This window comes from Homo sapiens, chromosome 4, assembly GCF_000001405.40.
Source record: "Homo sapiens chromosome 4, GRCh38.p14 Primary Assembly".
Classification (NCBI taxonomy): Eukaryota; Metazoa; Chordata; class Mammalia; order Primates; family Hominidae; genus Homo; species Homo sapiens.
The window spans coordinates 171,512,884-171,537,418 of NC_000004.12; the positions used below are offsets into that span (position 1 = coordinate 171,512,884).

At 35.2% G+C, this 24,535-nt stretch overlaps 1 long non-coding RNA gene across 1 annotated transcript in view, besides 1 other annotated feature; it reads left to right on the forward strand.

Moving 5' to 3' along the window:
• LOC105377535 (uncharacterized) overlaps positions 1-24,535 on the forward strand; it is a 92,939-nt gene that overhangs the window by 18,834 nt on the left and 49,570 nt on the right. Inside the window, exons 3-4 of the long non-coding RNA XR_939444.2 lie at positions 12,179-12,417; positions 24,226-24,375. This is a non-coding gene — a long non-coding RNA (uncharacterized LOC105377535). The remainder of the gene's footprint in view (positions 1-12,178; positions 12,418-24,225; positions 24,376-24,535) is intronic.
• Positions 5,182-5,241: a silencer, noted in NCBI's record as "silent region_15800". NCBI's record gives its function as "represses an Ori minimal core promoter by ATAC-STARR-seq in GM12878 lymphoblastoid cells {active_cell/tissue: GM12878}" and the evidence as "EXISTENCE:reporter gene assay evidence [ECO:0000049][PMID:35858748]".

Genomic DNA, 24,535 nt, shown 5'->3' on the forward strand with positions numbered 1-24,535 from the left:
CAACACAAAATGGACTAAGAAAGATGTTTTACAGACAAAAATTCAATAAAAACGTAAAGTTTTGAATGACACAATAACGACTTTCATTTATTGAGATCATGTAGAACTATAAACACAATAATGTGTGAATTGCTTGAGCACATATAGAACATTTGCAAACAACTGGCCACATTCTAAAATAAAAATCTATTTTCAGTAACTATTACATGCTGACAATGATATAAAACTCATCCTGTAATGATAATACAAGTAAATTTAAGTCAATCAAAATAGAAAACAAAAATTATATAAATTGAATGTTTCAAAGCACACTGATAAAAATCTCATAGTTCAAAGAAATATTAGTTCTATGAGAAAAATCTCATAGTTCAAAGAGATGTAATTTATAAAGCGATTAGAATTTTTATATATGCATATCGATAAATGTAATAGTGACAAGGGTACTCAAAAGATGATTATTTTAATAAATGCTTACCATAAAATAATGTGAATGTTAATAATTATTTAAACTTAATATATAAGCAAAATAACAAGAAAAATGATTATATTGCAAAAGAAATAATACAGAAAACAAAAACATAATAGAAGATGTTGGCAAAGCCAAAGCTGATTATTTGAGATGACTAATTAAGTTATAATATCTTTTCTTGAAGATAATTGAGAAAAATGAGAAGGTAAAAATGAAGGTAATGATTTAAAAGACAAAACATTGGTATAGGTCTAACAAAGGTTTAAAAATATAATACTAAGAAAATTGGTATGGTAATAAATTTATAACTTAGAAGAAATGGACAACTTTCTAGGAAAAATTCTTTAAATGTTTTATTTTAATCATTAAATTAATTAAATCATTTTAAAACATATTTCTTGAAACACCAACTGATATGATATTTCACATGAATTTTGTCAAAATGTCAAGAAACAGGTAATTCTTCCTTCAAATAAATAAGTTTGTCACAGAATATCAAGAAAAGAAAATATTACTAGCTTTCTTTCCAGAAACTGAAAGCTATCTTAATATATAGCAGTTTCTATAGCTGACCACGTAGGCAACTCTGTAACTTTCTACATATATATCGAATGTTATTTTATTCCAAAGCAGTATTTATCAGTATACATTCACAATAACTAATTATACAAGATCTTATTTCATATTCTCTCCCAAACTGGGTATTAACACATATCTTAATTGTAGCCAAACTAGTGGGCATAAAATTCTATCTTATGGTGATCTCCTTTATCATTTCATTGATTACAAATGAAGTTAAGAACATATTTTCATGTGTTTATTCATCCTTTTACTCTTATTTTAAATTATAAGTCCTTTCTTTTGCTTGTTTGTACTTTGTTATTTTTCTTTTATTTGATCCACAGGAATTCTTTCTATATATTGGATCCTAAGTATTTGTTGGTTTTAGATATAACAAGTATCTTCTTTTAGTTTATATCTTACAACTGTGACAGGTCAGAGATTTTACTCAAGTTGCAAGGTCACATGTTAGCTTGCCACAGTGTCCTAGATGTTGAAGAAGACAAAAGATTCCTAAGAGTAATGAGACGTTATCACTCACAGCACAGCAAATGGCATGAATATCAGTATATTTGCATCGGCTCCCCTTGCCCTCAAATTCTAAGAGAGTGAAGAGATGGGTCAAGGTACATACCATTTGCAGAGTGGGTATGATTCACAGCTGAAGTACCCAGGTTAAGGATCCATTACCTATTCACCAAAGAGTGAACATTGCAGACGAGTTTACTGCTGTCTACAATGTTCACTCTTTGGTCAATAGGTACTGGGCCCTTAGCCCTGTTAATACCCAGTTTGGGGGAGAATATGAAATAAGATCTTGTATAATTTGTTGTTGTGAATGTATGTTGATAAATACTGCTTTGGAATACAATAACATTCAATACACTCTAATCCTGCAATATTGTTTTACAGTCTTGGAAGCATGCAGTAGGGGACATAAGATAGATTATTAATGCAATGCCTTTCATAAGGGAGTACACTGAATATAACTCAATATTCATTGACAGAAGGGAGTATGGATACTGCACTAAATAAATATTTTACAGCTATGATATTGAACAAACTACAGCAACATTCAATAACATGAGTGAATCTTTAGAAAAATAAATTTTATAGAATAGTATGCTTCTATAAAGTCCAAAGCTAGCAAATTTTAAAAATAAAAATATGTGATAAATTATTAAATTCATGCCGTAGTTCCAAAATTCAATATAGTTGTTTGGCAACAGTGCAGAGAGATAACATTTGCAGCTGTATACATATATAGCCAAATTTATTGGTAAGATTCCATTTAGGTATGGTAATGTGGTCATGGTTATTTATTTGTGTTATGTTTTGTAATATATAAATATACATTATTCTTAATCAAATATTGCATATTGAAACTTTAAACTGCATATGATAAATCAAAATGTAAGTATTTGTAGTACAAATTGAGGGAAAAAAACAAGTTCATAATTTAGGTATTAAAAGCAGTTTCTGAAAAGTCTAAGTTGGATAACTATACAAATAATTTCACTCAGCTCTTGAATTTTCTAACAATATATTTAGTTTTCAAATTCCAGGATACTTTTTTGCTCAGTCCTGTCAAGTCCACAGCTTTTGTTTAATCATATAAAATATAGAATATCTTCTCCTGTTCCAAAAATTATTTAGGTCCTACTTTGAGCAGTGAACTCTAATTGTTTAAGTATTTTAAATATATTGCGGATATGCTGTGAAGTCCAGGCTGAAGCTGTGTTTTACTCTGAAAGGAAGTACTAGATTCACTCTCTCTACAAGCTTTTTTTATTAATAAAATATTTACCAATTTTAGATTCATGTTTTCTTAGACAAAATACAGAAACAGTAGTGTACATATCTCTAATAAAAATTGTAAATGTAAGTTATAAAATCCTATTACTTTTTAATATTATCTTCCTGAAAAGAGTATGATTTATTTCCCCATAAACCATCCATATTTATTGTCTTTGTATTGTGTCCAGTCTTGCAGACCAGAATAGAGTGAGGGAAATGCATTCATTAAACTCATCCTGAGTTCATAGAAATAAGAGTTGTCAGTAATTTCACCCATTGACTTAGACGTGAGTTAAGTTTCTTTCACAGAATGAATATATATGAAGTCATATGTCATTTAATGATAGGGTAGGGATATGATCTGAAAAATGCTTTCTTAGGTGATTTTATTGTATGAACATCATAGAGTATACCTACATAAACCTAGATGGCATAGCCTGCCATACACCGAGGCTCTATGTTATAGCCTATTGCTCCTAGACTACAGACCTGTACAGCATGTTACTGCACTGAATACTGTAGACAATTGTAACACTATGGTATTTGTGTATCTAAATATATAAACATTAAAATGGTACAAGCCAGATGTGGTGACTCTAGTTTGTATTCCCAGTGTTTGGAAAGCCAAAGTGGGAGGATCTCTTGAGGCAAGGAGTGTGAGACAAGTCTTGGCAACATTGTGAGACTCCTTCATCTCTACAAAAAAAAAAAAAAAAAAAAGAGAGAGAAGAAAGAAAAAACTAATTGGTAGAGTGTGGTGGTGTGTGCCTGTAGTCTCAGCTTTTGGGTAGGCTGAGGCAGGAAAATCTCTTTAGCCAAGAAGTTTCAAGCTGCAGTTAGCTGTGATCACGCCACTGCATTCTAGCCTGGGTGACAGAGTGAGACCACATTTCTTAAAATAAATAAATAAATAAAAAGGTATAGTAAAAAATAATACATTTTTAATATACCAGTGGTCCTGGTGGCATGGAACCAGTATTACATATGAGGTCCATCATAGACTGAAATTTTATTATGTAGCACATGACTATATATATTCTTCCCTAATTCTACCTTCTATGCCTTATGATTCACAAGGAAAAAAAAGAGCAATAAGTTAGCATTGTTCTCAAAATACTGGTTTCTCTTTCAATATGTTTCAACAAATTAGCTATAATCCGCTGTAAGTCAAGCACGGCAAGTCGTTAATTCTTGTTAATTTTCCCTCAGATTAAGGTAAAATACAAATTTCCCAACTTCAGGAATTTGGCCCAACCACAAGATAATAACAAAAACATTAAAAATGCATATTTTATGTTGCTAAGAAAAAATACCTATGTCACAAACTTTGTATACAAGAAATCTTCCCAGAGGAGAGTTTTGTGAGGATTTTCTTACCTATAATTTTCTTTCTATTTCAAATAATCTGTGTTTGTTATTTTGTGTCATGCATAGTGAGCATATGAACCAGAAAACTCATATTTTTTGTTTGTTTTTTGAAAGTAAGTCTTTATTAGCCTGCTGTGGGAAACACACTACATTCTACATTCTTTTTTTTTTTTTTTTTTTTTTTTTTGGAACAAGGTCTCATACTGTTGCCCAGGCTGGAGTGCAGTGGTATGATCTAGGCTCACTGCAACCTCAGCTTCCTAGGCTTAAGCAAGCATCCAGCCTCAGCCTCCCAAGTAGCTGGGACTACAGGCGTGCAGCACCACACATGGCTAATATTTTATTTTTTTTGTAGAGAGGGGGTTTTGTCATGTTGCCCAGACTGGTCTTGAACTCCTGAGCTCAAAGCAATCCACCCGCCTCGGCCTCCAAAAATGCTGGGGTTACAGGTGTGAGCCACCATGCCTGGCCTTCTATGTTTCTTTATCTCTCTACTTACCTTCAATATTTCTTTGCTTGTTGAGTGTAATGGGCATGTAGTTCTTTTAGAGATTAACCGCTGGAGTGGATAAGTGTTCTTTGCAAACCAATGAATTCTGGGCAAGTTTCTTTTTACTCAGCTGTTTACATGAGTTTGATGGCTAATTTTTGGTGTCAAGCTGACTGAATTAAGGACTACCTAGATAGCTGATAAAGCACGATTCTTGAGTGTCTCTCTGAGGGTGAGGGTGTTTCCAGAGGAGACTGGTGTGTGAGTTAAAGGACTGAATGGGGGAGATCAGCCCTTAATGTGAGCGGGCTCCATCCACTTGCCTGGGGACCAGATGGAACAGAAAGGCAGAGGAAGGACAAATTTCTGTTCTGTGTCCAGAAGCCAGGACACTCTCCTTCCTCTGCCCTTGGACACCAGTACTGAAGGTCTCTGACCATTGAACTCTGGATTTGCACCAGTGGTCCTCTGGGTTCTCAAGCCTTTAGGCTGTGACCGAGAGTTACACCACAGCTTTCAGACCTGGACTGAGCCACATTACTCACTTTCTTAGGACTCCAGTTTGCAGATGGCCTATTGTGAGACTTCTCAGTCTCTATAATTGTGTAAGCTAACTCACCTAATAAGGCCCCTCTTATCTATTATCTATCTATCTATCTATCTATCTATCTATCTATCATCTATCTATCTATCTATCTATCTATTATATCCTATTGGTTCTGTCTTTCTGGAGAACTCAGGGTAAAACAATTAGTCAAATACTTCTCTTCAAGACAAAGTGGTACATTTACTATGAATCTATAATGTAGGTCTAGGATGGTAATTTTTAAATGACTGTGTGCAAATCCCTCAAGGGGTATTATGAAAGAAATATTCTCTTTATTTTCCATTTATTCTCCTTCCCTCTGAGGATCCACATTGACTTAAACGTATTTGCAATAGCGGGAATAAAGAAGTGTGCCTGTGGTAATTCTGGGTGGGGAACACTTCCTGTCAGGCTTCCCTGTGATAACTTTTGCATTTCTGGTGAACCTCATGCTAGGTTACTGCTCATCTGTGTAAATGTTTCCCAGTTTGCCTGAAAAGTTACGTAAGTTGCCTTTTCAACCATGAAGTAAGATTACTTCAAGATGGTTAAAATAGTTACAGAAGTTTAGATTTACCTTATAACAGTAATTCTTTTTTTACTATATAGAATTAAATATATATATATGTATATACATATATTTGCAAAAGCTGATTTACTTTAGTGTGCCATTTATAATAGAACATAGTAATTTTCAGTGGTTTTAGCTTTTCAGTTTTGATTATATAAGAGAGGAAAACTAGACTATGACCTTCATCTTTAGTGTTAACTACAGATTCCCTAACCACTCTTACAAAGGGAGTTCAGTCAAATTGCCTAGTTTACAAATAAATCCATGAAGGCGTTTTTAAACTGCGTTAAACACTTTGAATAAAAGTATGATTATGGAGGGTTATTTACAGAAAAACTCCGTGAAACTGTGTTTTCACAGTTTCCTCACACCACAACAAGGAGGAAGTTTCCTCCTTCCTCACACCACAACAATCGTCAACACAGAAGATTTTTATGAGCAAATGTATTGGGGTTTCCCCCCACCACCAAGCAGTGGACACCAACTGGGTGTCTTCCAGTTCAACTCTGACACTATCTACCTGGAAATACTGTCAGATCCCACAGGATGAGGGCTCAGTCCCCAAGACTACCTCCCCACAGACATCATCACAAGTCTGGGCCTCTGAAACTTCTGACTGACTGGCTTCAAGTTGGGGTTCCTACAATACCCTCTTTGGGTTTGATTAATTTGATGGAGCAGCTCACATTACTAAGGGAAACACTTATGTTTACTGGTTTATTATAAAGGATATTACAGAAGATACAGATGAAGAGACATAGGAAGTGGTATGGGGAAAGGGGTGCACAGCTTGCATTGGCCCCCCTGGGGCACCACCCTCCAGGAGCTTAAACATTTAGTCGAAGCTCCCCAAACCCTGTCCTCTAGGGCTTTTATGAGAGCTTCACTACGTAGGCATGACTAATAACCATATACAAATGTGATTAGACAAAAAAAACGCAGGATCTAGACCTAGCGAGGCCTGTCTGTTCTGACTTTTCTTGGCCTCTCTGTGTAGCATTCCTTCTCTAGGGTATGGGGCAGGAATCTCCCTAGAATGGGGGGTTTTTGACCCACAATCAGATTACAGTCCTGAGGTGAAAGAGAACAGGAGGTCAGAAACAGAGATTCTATTTCCTGTGGCCTAAAGTGCCTCAACATTATAACAAAAACTGTGGGAGTTAGAAGCCAGGAAGGATGAAAATCTATAAATAAATAAATATTTTTATATCTATATCTATATCTAATAGCACCACGAGGGGAGAGAGAGAGAAAGAGAGAGAGAAATTTTAACAAACTAGCTAAACTGTCTTAGAATTCCATAGGACAAAATATCAAATTTTCCTTTGTAATAAAAATGACAATACTATATTAGAGTATGAGCATAACATCTAAATTATACAGACAAGCACCATAAAATACCTATACAAAGGAAAAACAAAAGAACCACACAGAGTCATAGATTTGTTTCAAAACTATGTTTAGTGTCAAGGATACAGATTGCTTTTTAGCATTTTGGAGGTAACTTCTTGAGATCTGTGAGTTTTTAAAAAAAACATGATGTTATGTTGTAGCCTATGACTATGGTTCCAAGCAAGGATCCTGGTCTAATTAGCAAAAAAAAAAAAAAAAAAAAAAAAAAAAGGACTGGCCGAAGCAATCAGGCCCACTCCTGAGGAATGCTGAGGAATGTTCCCTCGACACTCCTTCAGCAATCTTTTGCGATATGATATAGCAGTAAAAGCCAACATGGAGTAGAGAGGACAGAATTACTCTTGCGTTTGAAACCGCAAACAGTCCCAAACAAAACACATAAAACAACAAATTTCAAAACACTAGACATCAATCAATGAAGAATAGTAATTCCTGAGAGATGACACACACACACACAAATGGTGAGCCCGACAATTGCTGCAGTGTGTTGCATTGAGAGAATGTTCGCCCACGGTGCAGAGAAGGAAAACTTAAGGGGAAACTAGAAATCTCTCATCTTATGTTGAGAAGATGGAGTTGAGAGTTCAGGGCAATCAAGGCACTTAATCTCATAAGACAGTGTACCAGAGAAAAGAGAACTGCACATAGAGAGAATCCCAGAGATCTGCAGATAGTCCTCCTTGAGTATTTAACAGAGTACTGATCAGCTTACATGTGTGAGCAAACTACCTTAGGATAAGAGAGATCATCCAAAATGATTACAGAAAACAGTGTTGGGGACTCACGCAGGGCCAACGACAGTACCTGTTCTATCTTGGCCACATTGGATTGAAAAAAATCATCAATTTATAGGATTTTGCATAGAGTATTTAGGAAAAGTCCTTCTTCAGTACTGAGGAATAATTAACCCCACACTGAGCATTGCTTCAGAACGCTTTAATAAGGAATACAAACAATCCCCGAAAAGATTAAACTGTTTACAAATAGCATCTCAAAACAAAGCTCAAGAAAATGTATGGGCATACAAAATATCTAGCACTACCAAGTTAAATTCACAAGGTCTGGCATTTAATCAGAGATTACCAGGCATCTTATTAGAAAAGTAAAAGCAACACATAATAACGAGAATAATAAATCAATCAAAACTGATGCAGAACTAACACAGATACTAGAATTAGCAGAGAAGGATATTAAAGCATTTATTTTAGCTATACTCCATAGGTTGAAAAAGTTAGAGACAAAGAAGATATAAAAGAGAATTAAATTGAAATTGTAGAGACTACAATGTCAAGATAAAATATAACTGGATGAGACTGACCACAGATTAGATTTTGTAAAAGAAAATATAAATGAAATTTAAGGCCTAGCAACAGAAACTACCAAAAATGAAACACAGAGGGGGAAAAGAAGAATCTACAACAAGGAAAAGACTACAGGCTCTGGAACAACTTCAAGCAGCCTGATTTATGAGTAATTGTATCCCCAACAAAGAGGGGGAAAAGATGAACTAAAAAGATATTTGAAGAAATAATGGCTGAACATTTCCAAGCTTGATAAAAACTATAAGCAAATAGATCTAACATACTCAGTGTCTTAGTCCAGTTTTCTATTGTTTATTACAGAACACCTAAAACTGGGTAATTTATAAAGAAAAAGGCATTTATTTCTTACAATTCTGGAGGCATCTGGTGAGGGCCTTCTTGTTGGTGGGGTCTCTACAGAGTTTAGAGGTGATGCAGAGCATGCCATGACAAGAGGGCTGAGCGTGCTAACGTGCTTACTTTGTTCTCTCTTCCTCTTCTTAAAAAGCCACAGGTTCCACTCCCATGATGACCAATCTATCCATTAATCTATGAATGGGTTAATCCATTCATAATGTCAGAGCCCTTATGATCCAATCATTAGGTGATCCAATCACCTCTTAAAGGCCCCAGCTTTTTTTTTTTTTTTTTTGAAACAGGATCTTGCTCTGTCACCCGGGCTGGAGTGCACTGAATCCTCAAACTCCTGCGCTCAAGTGATTCTCCTACCTTAGCCTCATCAGTAGCTGGGACTATAGGTGCATACCACCACACCTGGCTATTAAAGACCACAGCTTTAATACTGACACATTGGGGATTAAGTTTCCAACACATAGAATTTCAGAAACACAGTCAAATCATAATATTTAGTAAAACTCAAGGAAATATGAAGAAAACTAAGCGATGATATATCATGATAACATTTCTTAATATAATTAATAAAAATAAATTATTAAAAGCAGCCATAGGAAAAAATATTACATTTAGAGGAACAAAAATGGAAATGACACCAGATTTCTTGCTGTAAACAGTACAAGCAAGGAGTTGGTAGAGCAATACCTTTAAAGAAAATTTTTTTTAAACTATGAACCTAGAATTTTATAACAGGAAGACACATCTTTCAAAAATGAAGGTGTAATAAAGACATTTTCAGATATATAAAAATTGAAAAAATTTATCACCAACAGTCTCACACTAGAAGAAATGTTAAAGGAAGTCTTTATGATAGAATGAAAATGTTAACAGATAAATATCTGATCTATCCAAAGAAATGAAGAGCACTAGAAATGTTACAATATGGGTACATGTAAAGGTTGTTTTTCCTTATTATGTAAGTCTCTATGAAAGAAAAAGAGACTGTTTATCTGGCTGTTTCCACAAAATAATAGCATATTCTTATTCAATAATAATGTACATAGCATATATAATTACATGTATAATAATACATATATAATTAAAGATATGATAACGCATATATTACGTGTGTAATTATAATAACAAGGTATTTCATGGCGTACAACATACATAAATTTAAAATGCATGCGGGAGCTATGGTCATTAAAGCATCATGTTATTGTCACAAAGATGGACAAATAAGAACAGAATAAAAAATCTAGAAATAAACCCACACGTATATAGAAAACTAATTTTTACAAAGGCACAAAGGTAATGGAGACATTATAGGCTTTCCAATAAATTGTGCTGGGACAATCAGATATTCATACGCAAAAAATATATTTTAAAATAATTAATTTTAAAATTAATTTTTTAAACATTAATTAAAATAGATAATACACCTAAATTTAAAATGTTAAGTTATAAAACTTCCAGAAGAAAGCTTAGGAGAAAATTTCACATGCTTAGCTTAGGCAAAGATATCTTGGAAACAACACCACAACACCAAAAGCACAATCTATAAAATAACAAATTGCTCCCTAAGCTTTCAGGTATTTTAACAGGCCTTTGGCTCAGTAGAACTCTGTCTCATAAATATCTCCATGCCTACCTCCTTCATCTCTAAAATTCTTCTCAACCACATGTTTTCCAGTGAGGCCTGCCCTGAATACGTTGTTTTAAATTACATACCATCCTCTATCCCACAGCACTTCTAATAACTGTACCTGCTCTGTTGCTCTGTTTTTCCCATGGTACTTTACCCTCTAACCTATTATCTAATTTGCCTATTAACTGTGCGCGTCATTATTATTTACTACTCAGTTAAACTGTGTGGTGCACAGTAGATACTTAAGAAATATCTGTTAGCAAAATGAAGAGAACCAATTGTCCAAAAAACACCCCAAATGTTAATTGGTTGCCCCTGGGGAGCAGGAACTGGAGACAGAAGTGGGAAGGTAGAATACTGTATAAGTATTTGCAAATGACTTGATGATTAAATTAGATACATTATTATGATTATTTAAAACTTATTTTTAATGAAATAATGATGACTTATTATTGCTTTTAATCAAAGCAACATGCATCCCAAATTTGTTGTTTTCTGCTTTCTTGTCTAAGCGTTGCTGCAGTAGAACAATACTTTCTTAGAAAACATTTCACTGTGGTCATCCTGTTATTTATCACCCAAACTGGGAGCTTTGGAGATTTCCAGATGACAAACTGGATGGTACTCTCAGATCCAGGCACCAAGTGGGATTCTGCTCTGTAAAACTGCATGCCAATGATCCACAGGAAATGTTGAGATTCTGTGTACTTGTAGTTGAGCATAGATTTCAAACAGATGAATTTTTGAATGAGAAGAAACAGAAACACTTTATATAGGTTCAAATCTTTTACCAGCAATTCTGAAGTCAGAAAAGAAGTTCTGAAAACTGAGAAGGCTTTAAGTCTGTATTATGGCAAAACCAAAAAAAGACCTGAGCACATTTGTTGCCAAAACCCTTGAAGTCTTTAGTCAGTCCACTTAGTATGAATGTTCATAAATTTTACTGCAGAAACATTAATGCGCATGAATATTGTTTTCTGCCCAGGCAAAATATTATGTAATATACATTCTAACCAATTAATTATCTTTTTAAAATTAGAAAAATTCAAAATTCTGAAACAAATCTGATCCCATATATTTCAGTTAAGAAATTGTGAACTTACATATATTTTTCCTAATTATCCTTTTACTTTAGGATTTTGTGGGTTAAAATGGAAGGCAACATTTTTAGGAGGAAATGGGGCATCATTTAGGTCAAGTAAGCCTTTCATTGATGGTTGAGACATGGAGAAGAGAAGATGCTATTATTTAGCACTTGATCTGGAAGCGAGTGGAAGCCACCAGATCCCCATTGCAGGGAGAGTATGGCAACACTGGAACTTCAGAGCCAACAGTGCTTTATTTAGGAAGCTTTATATTTTACAAACTTTTATTTTTTAATGTTCTCAGCCTTTTTTTCTCATATAGATGTTCAAAAACAATTCCTGTAGCATCAACCTGAAAAATATATCTAGTATAATAAATAAAAAGATTCTAGAAAAAAATGAGTAACTTACTCATGTATAGGAATAATAATGTCTTTCTTAACTGGGCAGCGTGATTCAGTGAAGATGAAACTTCCTTTTTATGTTGTTGTTCTCTGAATTTCTGATATTTTCATGTCACTTCAATTCTCTCTAGGGCCCGTTACTGTCAGATTCCGGCAGTTGACCCTGGTGATTTCACAGCAGCAAGCACTGCAGGCGTTCCCAACACACAAGGCAAACTCTGTATATGGGCTCACCACCCACAGATCCAGCTGTCTGTCATGTCGTTCCCATATTGAAGGAACATAACCTGTTATTAAGCCAATTCAGCCCTGGAAGAAGGAACAAGTTTCCAAAATGCAATCTTTGAGTTTGGAAAATGGCATTTGAGAGGTATAAATAAAGCTAAATTCTTATAGAACTTAAACAGCATTGTGGTTATTATGTATTTTTTAAAGAAACATTTTTTCTTTGAATTTTTTTTTAATGTTTATAGCAAAGTTGCAAAGATAGTATATAGTGTTTCCTAATACCCCTACTAAGTTTTAGTTTCCCCTTCTGATGTTGACTTATGTTACCACAGGACAAGTGTCAAGGTAAATAAACCAATATTATTAGTACATTACTATTAACTAAACTTCAGACTTTCTTCATTCTCACCAGTTTTTCTATCAATGTCCCTTTTCTGTTCTTGGATCCTGTTCAGGGTAGCACATTGCATTTAGTTATCCTGTCTCCTAACTCTCACCTGGTCTGTGAGCATTTCTTAGTCTCTCTGTGTTTTACATGACCTAGCCAGTTTTAAGAGGTACTGGTCAGGTATTTTGCAGAATGTCTCTCAAATTGGGGTGTCTTATTTTTTTCTCATAGTTAGACTGGAGTTAATGGGGTTTTCAGAAAGAATAACACTGAGGCAATGTGTCTTCTTCATTACATCATATCAGGGGAAAATGCGGTATCTCCTGGTGATGTTAACCTTGTTTACTTGGTTAAAGTACTGTGTGCCATGTTTCTCCACTGCAAAATTTCTCTTTTCCCTTGCTATATTCAATTCTTTTAAAATGAGTCATAAATACAGTCCATTCTCTAAAGAAGGTGGGAACTAAGGTCCATCTCCTGAAAAAGGAATTACTACATATACAGTTTAGAATATTTTGCACAGATTTGTCTATTGCCCCATTTATATTTACCTAATATCAAAATGGACACATTTGTATTTATTTCATATTTTGGGTTACAATTCAATATTCTGTTTTTTTTGTTGTTGATGCTCACATTTTCTTTGCTTTGACCGTTGGAAGTTCCTCTAATTCAGCTTCTCTGTCTCTTTGACATGCCCTCATCCTGTTGTTTTCTTGAACATTTCCTTTTGTTATGGTACTAAAAGCTGCTCCAGGTTCATTTTGTATCAGCTCTAGAACAGACTATTTCTCAAAGGAGTCCTTAGTCCTTCTCCTGGCTCATCATATTTTAAAATCAAAATCTGGGCACTGGGTGTGCTTCTTGTTACTGGGGTGTCATTGCTTCGAGGCTCTTTCAGCTGCCAGAACTTTAGGTAAAGTATGTTCTAATTTATGTATATTAACATATCTATAATTGTTTCTGTCACTATCTTGTTAAAGATATTATGTCATGTATCTCTCTATATATGTTAAATATACATAAGTTCAGCTGGGAACGGTGGCTCATGCCTGTAATCTCAGCACTTTGGGAGGCCAAGGCGGGTGGATCACAAGGTCAGAAGTTCAAGACCAACCTGGCCGTGATGGTGAAACCCGGTCTCCACTAAAAATACAAAAAATTAATTAGCCGGGCATTGTGGCAGGCACCTATAATTCCAGCTACTCGGGAGGCTGAGGCAGGGAATTGCTTGAACCCGGGAGGCGGAGGTTACAGTGAGCTGAGATCGCACCACTGCACTCGAGCCTGGGAGACAGAGTGAGACTCCATCTCAAATAAATAAATAAATAAACAAACACAAGTTCACACTGATGTCTCCAACTCTAGTCTAGTACCATAGGGTTCATTCTTGCCATTTTGATTATCTGTGGCTTTCTTCTCTGACTGTGAGAATCTTGGCTGCCATCATCCAGGGAGAAACCATTTACCACCTAGAATACAGTGTCTATACACGGTTACTTTTGTTATTACCCTTAAAATTTTCAGTCAAAATACTGTTATCTACAGCTACTAAAGCCAGATCCATTTTACCCATTTTTGGTGCACTTATGCCATACATTTGTAACACAGTCAGATTCATTTTTTACAGTCTACAATCCATTGCTGGATCCCTAAAATACTGGTTGATTTTTTAGATGTTTGTCTGTGTCCATTAAAAGCACTTATAGTAATGTAAAGTTCTATTGATTTTATTAATTAAAAAATGGTTATTTAGTCTGGGCAACATGGCAAAACCCCATCTCTAAAAAAAATACTAAAAGTAGCTGGGCTTGGTGGTGCATGCCTGCGGTCCCAGCTACTTGGGAGGCTGAGGTGGGAGGATCGCTTGAGCCCAGGAGGCAGAGGTTGCAGTGAGCTGAGATTGTGCTGCTGCACTCCAGGCTGGGGGACAGAACCATATCTTGTCTCAAAAAGAAAAAAAAATGGTTATTGACTACTCACTACTTCCTGATTACCTTTACTGTAAGAAGAATTTTTCAAAATTCCAACTCATTTACATGTTTATGAGTTTTAAAGATGATAATGAAACCAAATATTTTGTATATGTGTGTCTGTTTACTATTATGTATCATATGTAGTACTTACCCAATACTATTTCTTCACTATAATTTTTAGTTATAATTATATAAGTAAGATGTTTGTATGTATGTTTTTAACAAAAGAAACATGTTTTAACATATACATACGTCTTTTAATGCATCCTTTCAAAACTGTGATTTATCAAGTAAAATATTTTTTAAAATTCTAAATTTTACTCATTCAGTATGTCCATATAATGAATTAAAAATAAAATTAAAAATGAAAACCAGTTTTCTGAATTAGGCATTCTCCTTATAGTGGCACTATATATAGTGATAAACTTTGAAAATACTCCATTATTTATTAGCTATGTAACTTTGGGCAAGTCATAGTATTAATCTCTCTGGCCTTAGTTTTCTTAATCAAAACTCAGAGTCATACTATTAACAGTACAAAAATCAAAGGAAGAGTAAAAGAACCAATTAAGATAACATTTTTAAAGCATCAGAGGCTACTTCATGTGACACAATACTATATAGATATAGATACCAATATAGATAGATATTGTGTGTTGTTCATAGATTTTTAGTACATTTTTAAGTGCAAATATAATTTATTGTGTTGCATTCATCTACATTATATATATGTGTGAAATTTGTGAATTGCTGTCTGTAAATATCTATAAACAACACATTCAGCCATTTGCCTAGAGGTTTACTGCTATGAAAAAGAAATAATTAGAATTTTTCAAGTACAAGTGGGATGGACTGTAAATTGAACATAATTATTGGAAATCGCTTTATGTCAATTCAGAAGCTTATACTTAATAATTCAGGGTTATTTTATAATTGAATGTTTATGTCAAGATCAACATTAGTGAGGGATGTTGGAAAAGATTAGAAATAATGTACAAGAAACTTTGCATATTACTGCTAGTTCTGCTACTTGGCACAGTATTTTGTAATTATGTCATAACTAAAAATCATAGATTATACCACAAGAGTTTTCATTGTCCTTATTATTTATCATTTTTGAGTGTCCACCAGATTTGCGTTACTTTTTAAATCATTTAAATGCTTTAAACTCTCTTGCCAAGAAAATCAAACAAACATGTATCCCAATCTGCAAATAGGAAGCCAGGAAGCTAAATCAAATTAGCACACAATGTACATGTGTATGCATATATATATACTCATATATATTCATATATATGTATATACACACTTACATGAACACACATACTTACATGTATGTCTGTGTGTATATATGCATACACACATGAATACATATATCTATTTGGGTAAGTGATTAGACTGACAGTACAGTTGAACATGTATAAAACTGGAAATGATACTTCTGCAACTATCTACTAACATACATTATTTGAAGAGAATTAAAATCCCAAATGAAGTTATAGCCTATTGCAACCTGTAAAACATTTCTTGTAAATTACCTAATTTATTTTTTCATTTATGTACAGTTTCTTATGTAAATTTGAAAAATATTTGCCATGGTGCATTCTGTAACCATTCCCATATTCTTTTCCTTAATGCTTATTTGCATGAGAGGAACTTGGGTTTTTCTTGTTTGTATTGGATAGCTGTTAAGCTAACTTCAGTATCTCTGCCTTTTTTTGCATAGTTTAACTCTTTCTAATTTTTTTCATATTCCAAATAGATGTTAGAGTCATACTTTTTATTTTCTACTTTCTAAATAAATTCTCTAAGTTGTTTTTAAAATAAGAAATTAGCAAATCAGCAAAATATATTCCTATGATTAAAGCATGGCTCTGTTGAGAGTCAAAAATGGAAAGTATCTAGATATTGATGACACAAAAGCTCATCAATCAACATAGCTTGCTCTTAGTGGAAGGGATGAAGTCCATAAGCAAGAAGGTAGTTAGTCAACATCTTCAACATAGATAAAACAACATTTGTCTTGCTATATAATTGTGGGATGGACTTTAAGGTATAGTGTCATAAAGGACTGTGGTGCAAAGATGTCTGGGGCCAAATCGTGGCTCTGCCATTCACTGGTTGTGTTGCCTCAGACAAGGTTTCTAGTCTCTATGTACCTCACTTTTCTCATGAGAACAATAATAGTAGATGTGGTTATTGTGATGTTTAAATTAGTTAATATATAAAAGGATGAAATAGTGCCCGATAAGCACACTACCAATGATGACTATTATTACTTTTTATTATGATCATTATTATTTTGTTGACATAGCAAATATATTCTGTCTAAGTACATTGTTCATCTTATTTAATCTTAAATAAAAGGTCACTCTTAATGTCATTTATCAAAAGAACATCACCACACATCAGATAGTGTAAGGAACTGTATGAAAAATTATATCTTTAACTTTAATGAATATTTCTGTTGCTTGAAAACATCCATAAGCATTGCTTTTACTGTCTTTCATTTTAGCTACTTTTGCCTGCGGATTGAAGTAGTAGATGTTTGAGTTTGGCAGAAGATATTTCTGTAATACCAGTAATTTCCCTGTATAGCCAGCTTTCTTAGTGTAGGATTTCTAGCTGTCTTAGTGTAGGATTAATTTTCAAGAACAATTATTCACTGCAGGTCACTGGCATTATGACACAAAGTTGCAAGGGCAGAGTTGTTTTCTTTTCTTTCTTTTTTTCTTTTTTTTTTTTTTCGAAGGTGGAGCCTTGTTCTGTCACCCAGGCTGGAGTACAGTGGCGCCATCTCAGCTCACTGCAACCTCCGCCTCCTGGGTTCCAGCGATTCTCCTGCTTCACCCTCTCAAGTAGCTGGGACTACAGGCACGTGCCACCACACCTGGCTAATTTTTTGTATTTTTAGTAGAGACGGGGTTTCACCGTGTTAGCCAGGATGGTCTCCACCTCCTGACCTCATGATCCGCCCTCCTCGGCCTCCCAAAGTGCTGGGATTACAGGCATGAGCCACCACGCCCAGCCCCAGAGTTGTTTTCTTATGTGAATTTGGTTCCTGGCATTTGAAGAATATAAGTAATGGAGGAGGTGCAAAGTTAAAAATATGTGGATCCAGAAACCAGTCTGTGGAAAATATTATTCCATTTATCAGAGTTGTAAAATTGCAAGCAGAGAAATATATTTCCATGGACAAATAGTCAAAATGGAAACATCCACCTCTTAAGAATCTACTTGACAAGACAACATAAACATCTTCAAAGTATATACAAGCTGAATTATTCCTATAGTAAATCAACAAAAATTATTCAACATTTAGACGTAGATGTGACATATAATTTCCCATTATATCAATTTCAAATCAATTTAATGAGGATTAATAGCTTCTTAGGTTGTTCGAAAATATGATTGACAAAAGATAATGTCATATTAGGTGAAGATTAACATTTCTTGTTGATGTGTCATGAAGTACTGATAAGGATGATGATATAGTTTGGCTGCGTCCCTACTCAAATCTTACCTTGAGTTGTAATAATCCCCATGAGTGAAGGGTGGAGGCAGGTGAAGATCATTGAATCATAGGGGTGGTTTCCCCTATACTGTTCTCATGGTAGTGAATAAGTCTCATGAGATCTGATGGTTTTATAAATGGGAGTTCCCCTACACAAGCTCTCTTGCCTGTTGCCCTGTAAGACATGCCTTTGCTTCTGTTTGCCTTCCGTCATGATTGTTAGGCCTCCACAGCCATGTGGAACTGTGGCTCCATTAAACCTCTTTCCTTTATAAATTACCCAGTCTTGGGTATATCTTTATTAGCAGAGTGAGAACAGGCTAATACAGAGGAGAAACACATAAAACTCATTATATGCCACTCCACATAGATATGGAGAATAAATTGGTGAACAAATGTTATCAACTCAAAGAATTTCTAAACTTAGTCAAAACTCAAGAAAAGTTGTCATGAACTTTCTTTTATATTTTTACATATAAAATAAAATTAATAGGCTATTTTCCAAATTAATGAACAGTACTAGAAATGCATGTAAGCAGAACAATTTTTTTCCAAAATGAAATTAATAGCAAAAATTGTATTAACCATGTGAGGAAGAATGATGAATTAGAGATTCATTTCCTCTAGAAAAAAAATTGTACAAAATTACTATTATAGATAATAAGATAGCATGTTGCCAAAAATTAATTAGAGAAATTGTTACAGGTTTGTAGTAGCTAGATAATTAATAAAAAGTATTGTGTTATTTTCTGATTTTTGATATTTGTGTATTTTTAAATATTTGTCATCGTGATTTTTTTTTCTCATTCTAAATACATATTTTGGCTGAGTATGGTGGCTGATGCCTGTGATCTCAGCAGTTTGGGAAGCAGAGGACGGAGAATTGCTTGAGGCCAGAAGTTGGAGACCAGCACTGGCAACATAGCCAGATCTCATCTCTACAAAAAAAAAATTTTTTTAAATAGCCAGGCAGGGTACGAAATGCTTACAGTCCCGGCTACTCAGTAGGCTGAAGTGAGAGGATTGCTTGAGCCCAGGAGATTGAGGCTGCAGTCAACCATGATTGTGCCACTGTACTCCAGCCTGGGCGACAGAGCGAGACCATCTCTAAAAAATAATAATAACAATTATAAAATTATATATAAGTAAATACTCATATTTGCTTTCATACCAGCTTTGTAATTACAATTTTGCATTATTTTTCTTGAGGAATAAAAACATGATCCAGCCCCCCAAATTGCAAAATGTCAGGCCTTACAAAATCTTAGTGTTTTGGGGTTCAAATGGCTGTATTTTTATAAAGCTGTAGAAGTGATTTTGAAACACAACAGGGGTTAGAAAGCATTGGTATAAGAATCATAAAGACTTATGTCAGGACTTTGGGTTTCTTGTTGTCAAAGAGGGTAAATAATGGTTTCATTAATCAAGGTATAAAATACAGAAAGAAGCACAAGCTTTAGAAAAGGGTTTAGTTTTGAATATGCTTATTTCTAAACAAAGTTTGCTATCGCACTAACTTTGAAGACCATATCAAATTGCTTTTATGTTTAGCTTACTGTAGACTAAATCCTTGAACTCTTTCTTTTAATGTTCTGCTTCTTAGTCAATTTTCTTCCCACATGTATTTGTACATTGGAAGCTTTGGAGTTCAATCCATACAGGAGTTTACTTTTATCTTTGTTAAATTTCATCCTGCTAGGTTTTATTGCATTTCTCTAACCTGCACATTGCTTTGTTCTGAACTCTTTCCCCGGCTTTCTCTATATGCTGGCTATTTTGTACATTGATTTTATGGCATATGCACATTCTTATTTATTTTTTCTCAATTGTTCTTACAGCCGGGGTGCATTTATAATAACTGCAAAGCATTTTCCCTAACATACCTGCCCATAGAATGAATTGTACAATCTTCTACCCAATTCATATGTTGAAGCCTTAACTAACTTCCAATGTGATGGTGTTTGGAGATGAGGTTTTTGGAAGGTAACTAGGCTTAAATGAGGTCATGAAGTTGGATAATGAGATTAGTATTTAAGAAGGGACCTGTGAGCTTGCACTTTCTCTCCTTCCAGAAGCACAAAAATAACTTGAGGTCCTGTGAGCATAGAGGGAGTTGGCAGCCAGCTGCCTACAAGCCAAGAGAAGCAGCTTCAGAATGAAAGCTGCCTTGTCAGCACCTTGGTCTTGAAACTGTAAGAAATCAATTTCTGTCGTTTAAGCCCCCCAGTCTTTGGAATTTTGTTATGGCAGCCCAAACTGACTAAGACAGTATCTACTAGAAGGTTCAAGTCTGAAGAGGAAAAAAGTTTGCTTTCTGCTCCGAAGGCTTGTATGGAATTAGATTCGTGTGTTAGAGACACACACGTAAAGACAAATGCACAGGCAGGTGAGTGCTGCTTACACAACTTATGACTATTTTATTATGAATGCTTTTTGCTTCCCCTTTAAAGTTATCTAGAGAGGAATGTGCTACAGCTCAGAGATTTGAAAGATGACAATAATTTTATGACTTAACAGGAACCTCGTGTTACATGGAAAGCACAATCATTTTAATTTGAAATATTTGAACATATATTTTTATAAGCTAAATAACATTGCCAGTCACCAGGACCTGAATTAGCTAAAGATGCATAGTTTCTTGGGGATAATTGCTACTCAGCAATATTTTAAATAGTGCTTAAAACTTCCTATGTTACTAATAAAAGTCAGTCAGGCTGAGTTAAAAGCCTGGCTAAGCCACTTATTACCCAAGTGACTAAGGTATTTTCAGTAAATATTTTTTCTAGTCATTTAATCTTTTACTGCTTTAGTCTCCTCACCTATAAATGAGGATGATGGTAATACCTATTTTTTTTATAGTTGATGTGAGGATTAAATGGGTGGGACGTGTAAAACACAAAGAATGGAGTAGGCACTCAATATTAGTTACATTTCTGTTTTTCACTCATTAAGCAAGGTATTGTAACATTCAATGTAGGCATCAGAGACTTTGCCAAATCTCCTCACCATTTTAAATGTTTAATAACTCTCCCCTCTTTCTAATACTGAGATTGCTTTTAGAATAACATTTTTCCTTCCCTTCCTACTCAGAATGCACATTACTGAAATACCTTAGCTCCAGGAAGTTGAGAATTAGAATATCTTAATCTAAAATCAGGCTCTTCTAATTTCCAGCTAAATTTCAGAGAATGGAATGGTATTCATGGCATCACTTAAAGGAGTTATTATTTTTCAAGTTTTGATTCTGGTCTATACGAGACAAACTTTTATGTTCTGTATAAGTAATTGCACAGAAAAATGTTGCATCACTATTTTTTATTGACTACTACAGAGTAAAACTTTGTGTCACCCCCAAATTTATATGTGAAATCCTAACCCTCAAGGTAATTATATGGTATTAGGAAACAAGACCGTTGGGAGACAATTAGGTCATGAGGGTGGAACCTCTTACAAAAGAGATCCCAGAGAGCTCTCTCACCTTCTGCCATGGCCCACATTCTGAGGATGCAGTTAGGAGTCAACAGTCTGCAACACAGAAGAGGGCTCTCACTAGAACTCAACCATGCTGGCACCCTGATCCTGGACTTCCAGGCTTGGGAACTGTGAAGAATACAGTTTTGTTGTTTAATCCACCTAGTCTAGAACATTCTGCTGTAGCAGCCAAAATGGACTAAGACAGAAATTGGTACCATAAATGGAATGCTCTTGTAACACTTAAATATGTGAAAATGGCTTTGGAACTGTGTAAAGGGTAGAGACTAAAAGAGTTCTAAGGTGTGGAGTGGTTGATTTTAGATATCAGCTTGATTGGGTTAAGGGATACCCAGATAGCTAGCATTATTTCTGGGGATGTCTTCAAGGGGGTTTCCAGAAAAGTTTGACATTTGAATCAGTGAATTGATTAAAGAAGATCCAACTCCATCCAATGTGGCCAGATGTCATCCAATTGATTGTGGATCTGGATAGAACCAAAAAGCATAGGAAAGCCAAATTTCTTCCCTATTTTGAAGCTGGGACATGCATCTTCTCTTTCTTTGACATCAGAACTCCAGGTTCTCCAGCTTTTGAACTGCAGAATTTTCACTGGCATTCCCCTAACTCCCCCAACCCCGCCTTAGGTGTTTGGCTTCAGACTGAAAGTTACACCATTGGCTTCTCTAGCTCTCAGGCCTTAGGACTTGAACTAAGCTATGCCACCAGCTTCTGTGTTTCTCCAGGTTGCAGGTGGCATATTATGGGACTTTTCAATCTCCATAATCATGTGAGCCAATTCCCATAATAAATAACTTCTTATCTACTTCTTATCATCATCATCTATAACCTATTAATTCTGTTCCTCTGGAGAACCATGACTAATAAAAGGTGCATGCTTAAACAATCCTATATTGCTACGAATGGACCATTATAGCTGATTTTGGTAAGAACCCAGAAAGAAAGGAGAAGACTTTTAAAGAAACCCTCAATCTCTTTATAGAATTCCTAAGTAGCGATTATTAGAATGTTGGTAGAAATATGGGCAGTAAATCTATGAACTACCCAACCTCAGGTAGTTTGGGAGGCTGAGGTGGGCAGCACTTTGGGAGGCTGAGGTGGGCAGTTGGATCACCTGAGGTCAGGTAGTCGAGACCAGCCTTGCCAAAATGGCAAAACACTGTCTCTACTAAAAATAGAAAAAAAAAAAAATTAGCCTGGTGTGGTGGCAGAGCCCAGCTGAGATTGCAGTGAGCCGAGATTGTGCCACTGCACTCCAGCCTGGGCGACAGAAGAAGACTGTGTCTCAAAAAAAAAAAAAAAAAAAAAAAAAGAATTGAAAGATTTGGAAAATTCTTAGCCTATTCATATTTTAAAAATGAAAATACTTAGGGTGTGTCCTGGTGTCCATTTGATACAGAGATTAGTATAGGCTCAGCCACAGATTTAATCAGCAACCCCAGCAGGAAAAGTGTCAGTTTGAACGCAGAGGAAGGAGTTGAGAAGGAATGAATGAAGTCTGTTAGATTTCATGGATTTTATAGAATAAGATATGGAGCTATTTGACTGTGAATATGTGCTATTTTTCATTACAGGGGAAGAATAACCCCAAAGTTGATTCAGAGATTATCAGGGATACTTCCTCAGTTTCAGAAGGGGGACCATTGCATTGCATTCAACAAGCCAGATGGTCTTGACCCAAAGCTATGGGATGGGACCTTCCCCAGTGGACCTGAAAGGCAGAGCCTCAAACCAAAAAGTGTTACTCATGGAGAATGCTTTTCAATTTGAACTTATTTGAAATATTTTATCCCTTTCTTCTTTCCTGTTTCTCCCTTTTGCAATAGAAGTATCTATCTTATTCCTAACCCATTATTGTATTTTGGAAGGATATAACTTGTTTGGTTCCACAGGATCTCAGTTGGAGAGCAATTTTCCTCAGGTTGAAATGTATTTAGTCTCAAATATCACCTGATTTAGAGGATATTCAGAGATTTTGATATTTAGACTCTAGAGTTGCTGCTGGAAACAGTTTATACTTTTGAGGCTGCTTGGATGTAAAGAATGCATTTTGTATGTGAGAAGAACATAAATTTTGAGGGGTCAGGATGGAATGCTATAGACTCAATATTTGTGTCCCCCACAATTTGTATGTTTAAATCCCAACACCCAATTTGATGGTATTAGGAGATAGGACATTTGGAAGGTGAATATGTGTCATATGAATACAAATCCTATGACACATATTCACCTCTCATATATGGAATTAGTGCTCTTACAAAAACAAAAAACACCTCACAGTTATTTAAAGCTCCCTCCCCCTTTCCCCCTTGCCAGGACTCAGCATAGAGTTAAGAGTCTGGAACTTGGAGGAGAGCCATGCTGGCAGCTTGATTTTGGACTTCCAGGCTTGAGAATTGTGAAAAATAAATGTTTGTTGCTTAAGCCACACAATGGATGAGATCCTTTTGTAGCAGTCTGAATGGACTAAAGTTTGAAATCTAACTGCCATATTCTCTGGGCCCCATGAGAGAAGGGAGCACACTTTCTCAGTTTAGGATGGATATTATCTTGAAATCTCCCCACTTTTCTTTTTCTCAGAAGACACTCCCAACTTCTTCTGCATCTGGATTTCCTGAGTCAGAAGGTATCTTCCAGGGATCTGAAGTGTAGAAAGATGGAAATCACAAGACTATGGAGACTTGCAAACATTCACCAGCAGTACCTTCAGAGCAATCAACACAGCAGAAGGTAAGTACGGTGTCATGCTGTACGAAGGCATTTGCCAGCATTGCTGGTGACCACGAGCCATGACCATTGCTTTAAATAATAAAAATGAGAGATAGATAGTGAGAACAGTAACAGCACCATGACAAGTAATTGAAAGACTAGAGTCTTTACAATAAAACCT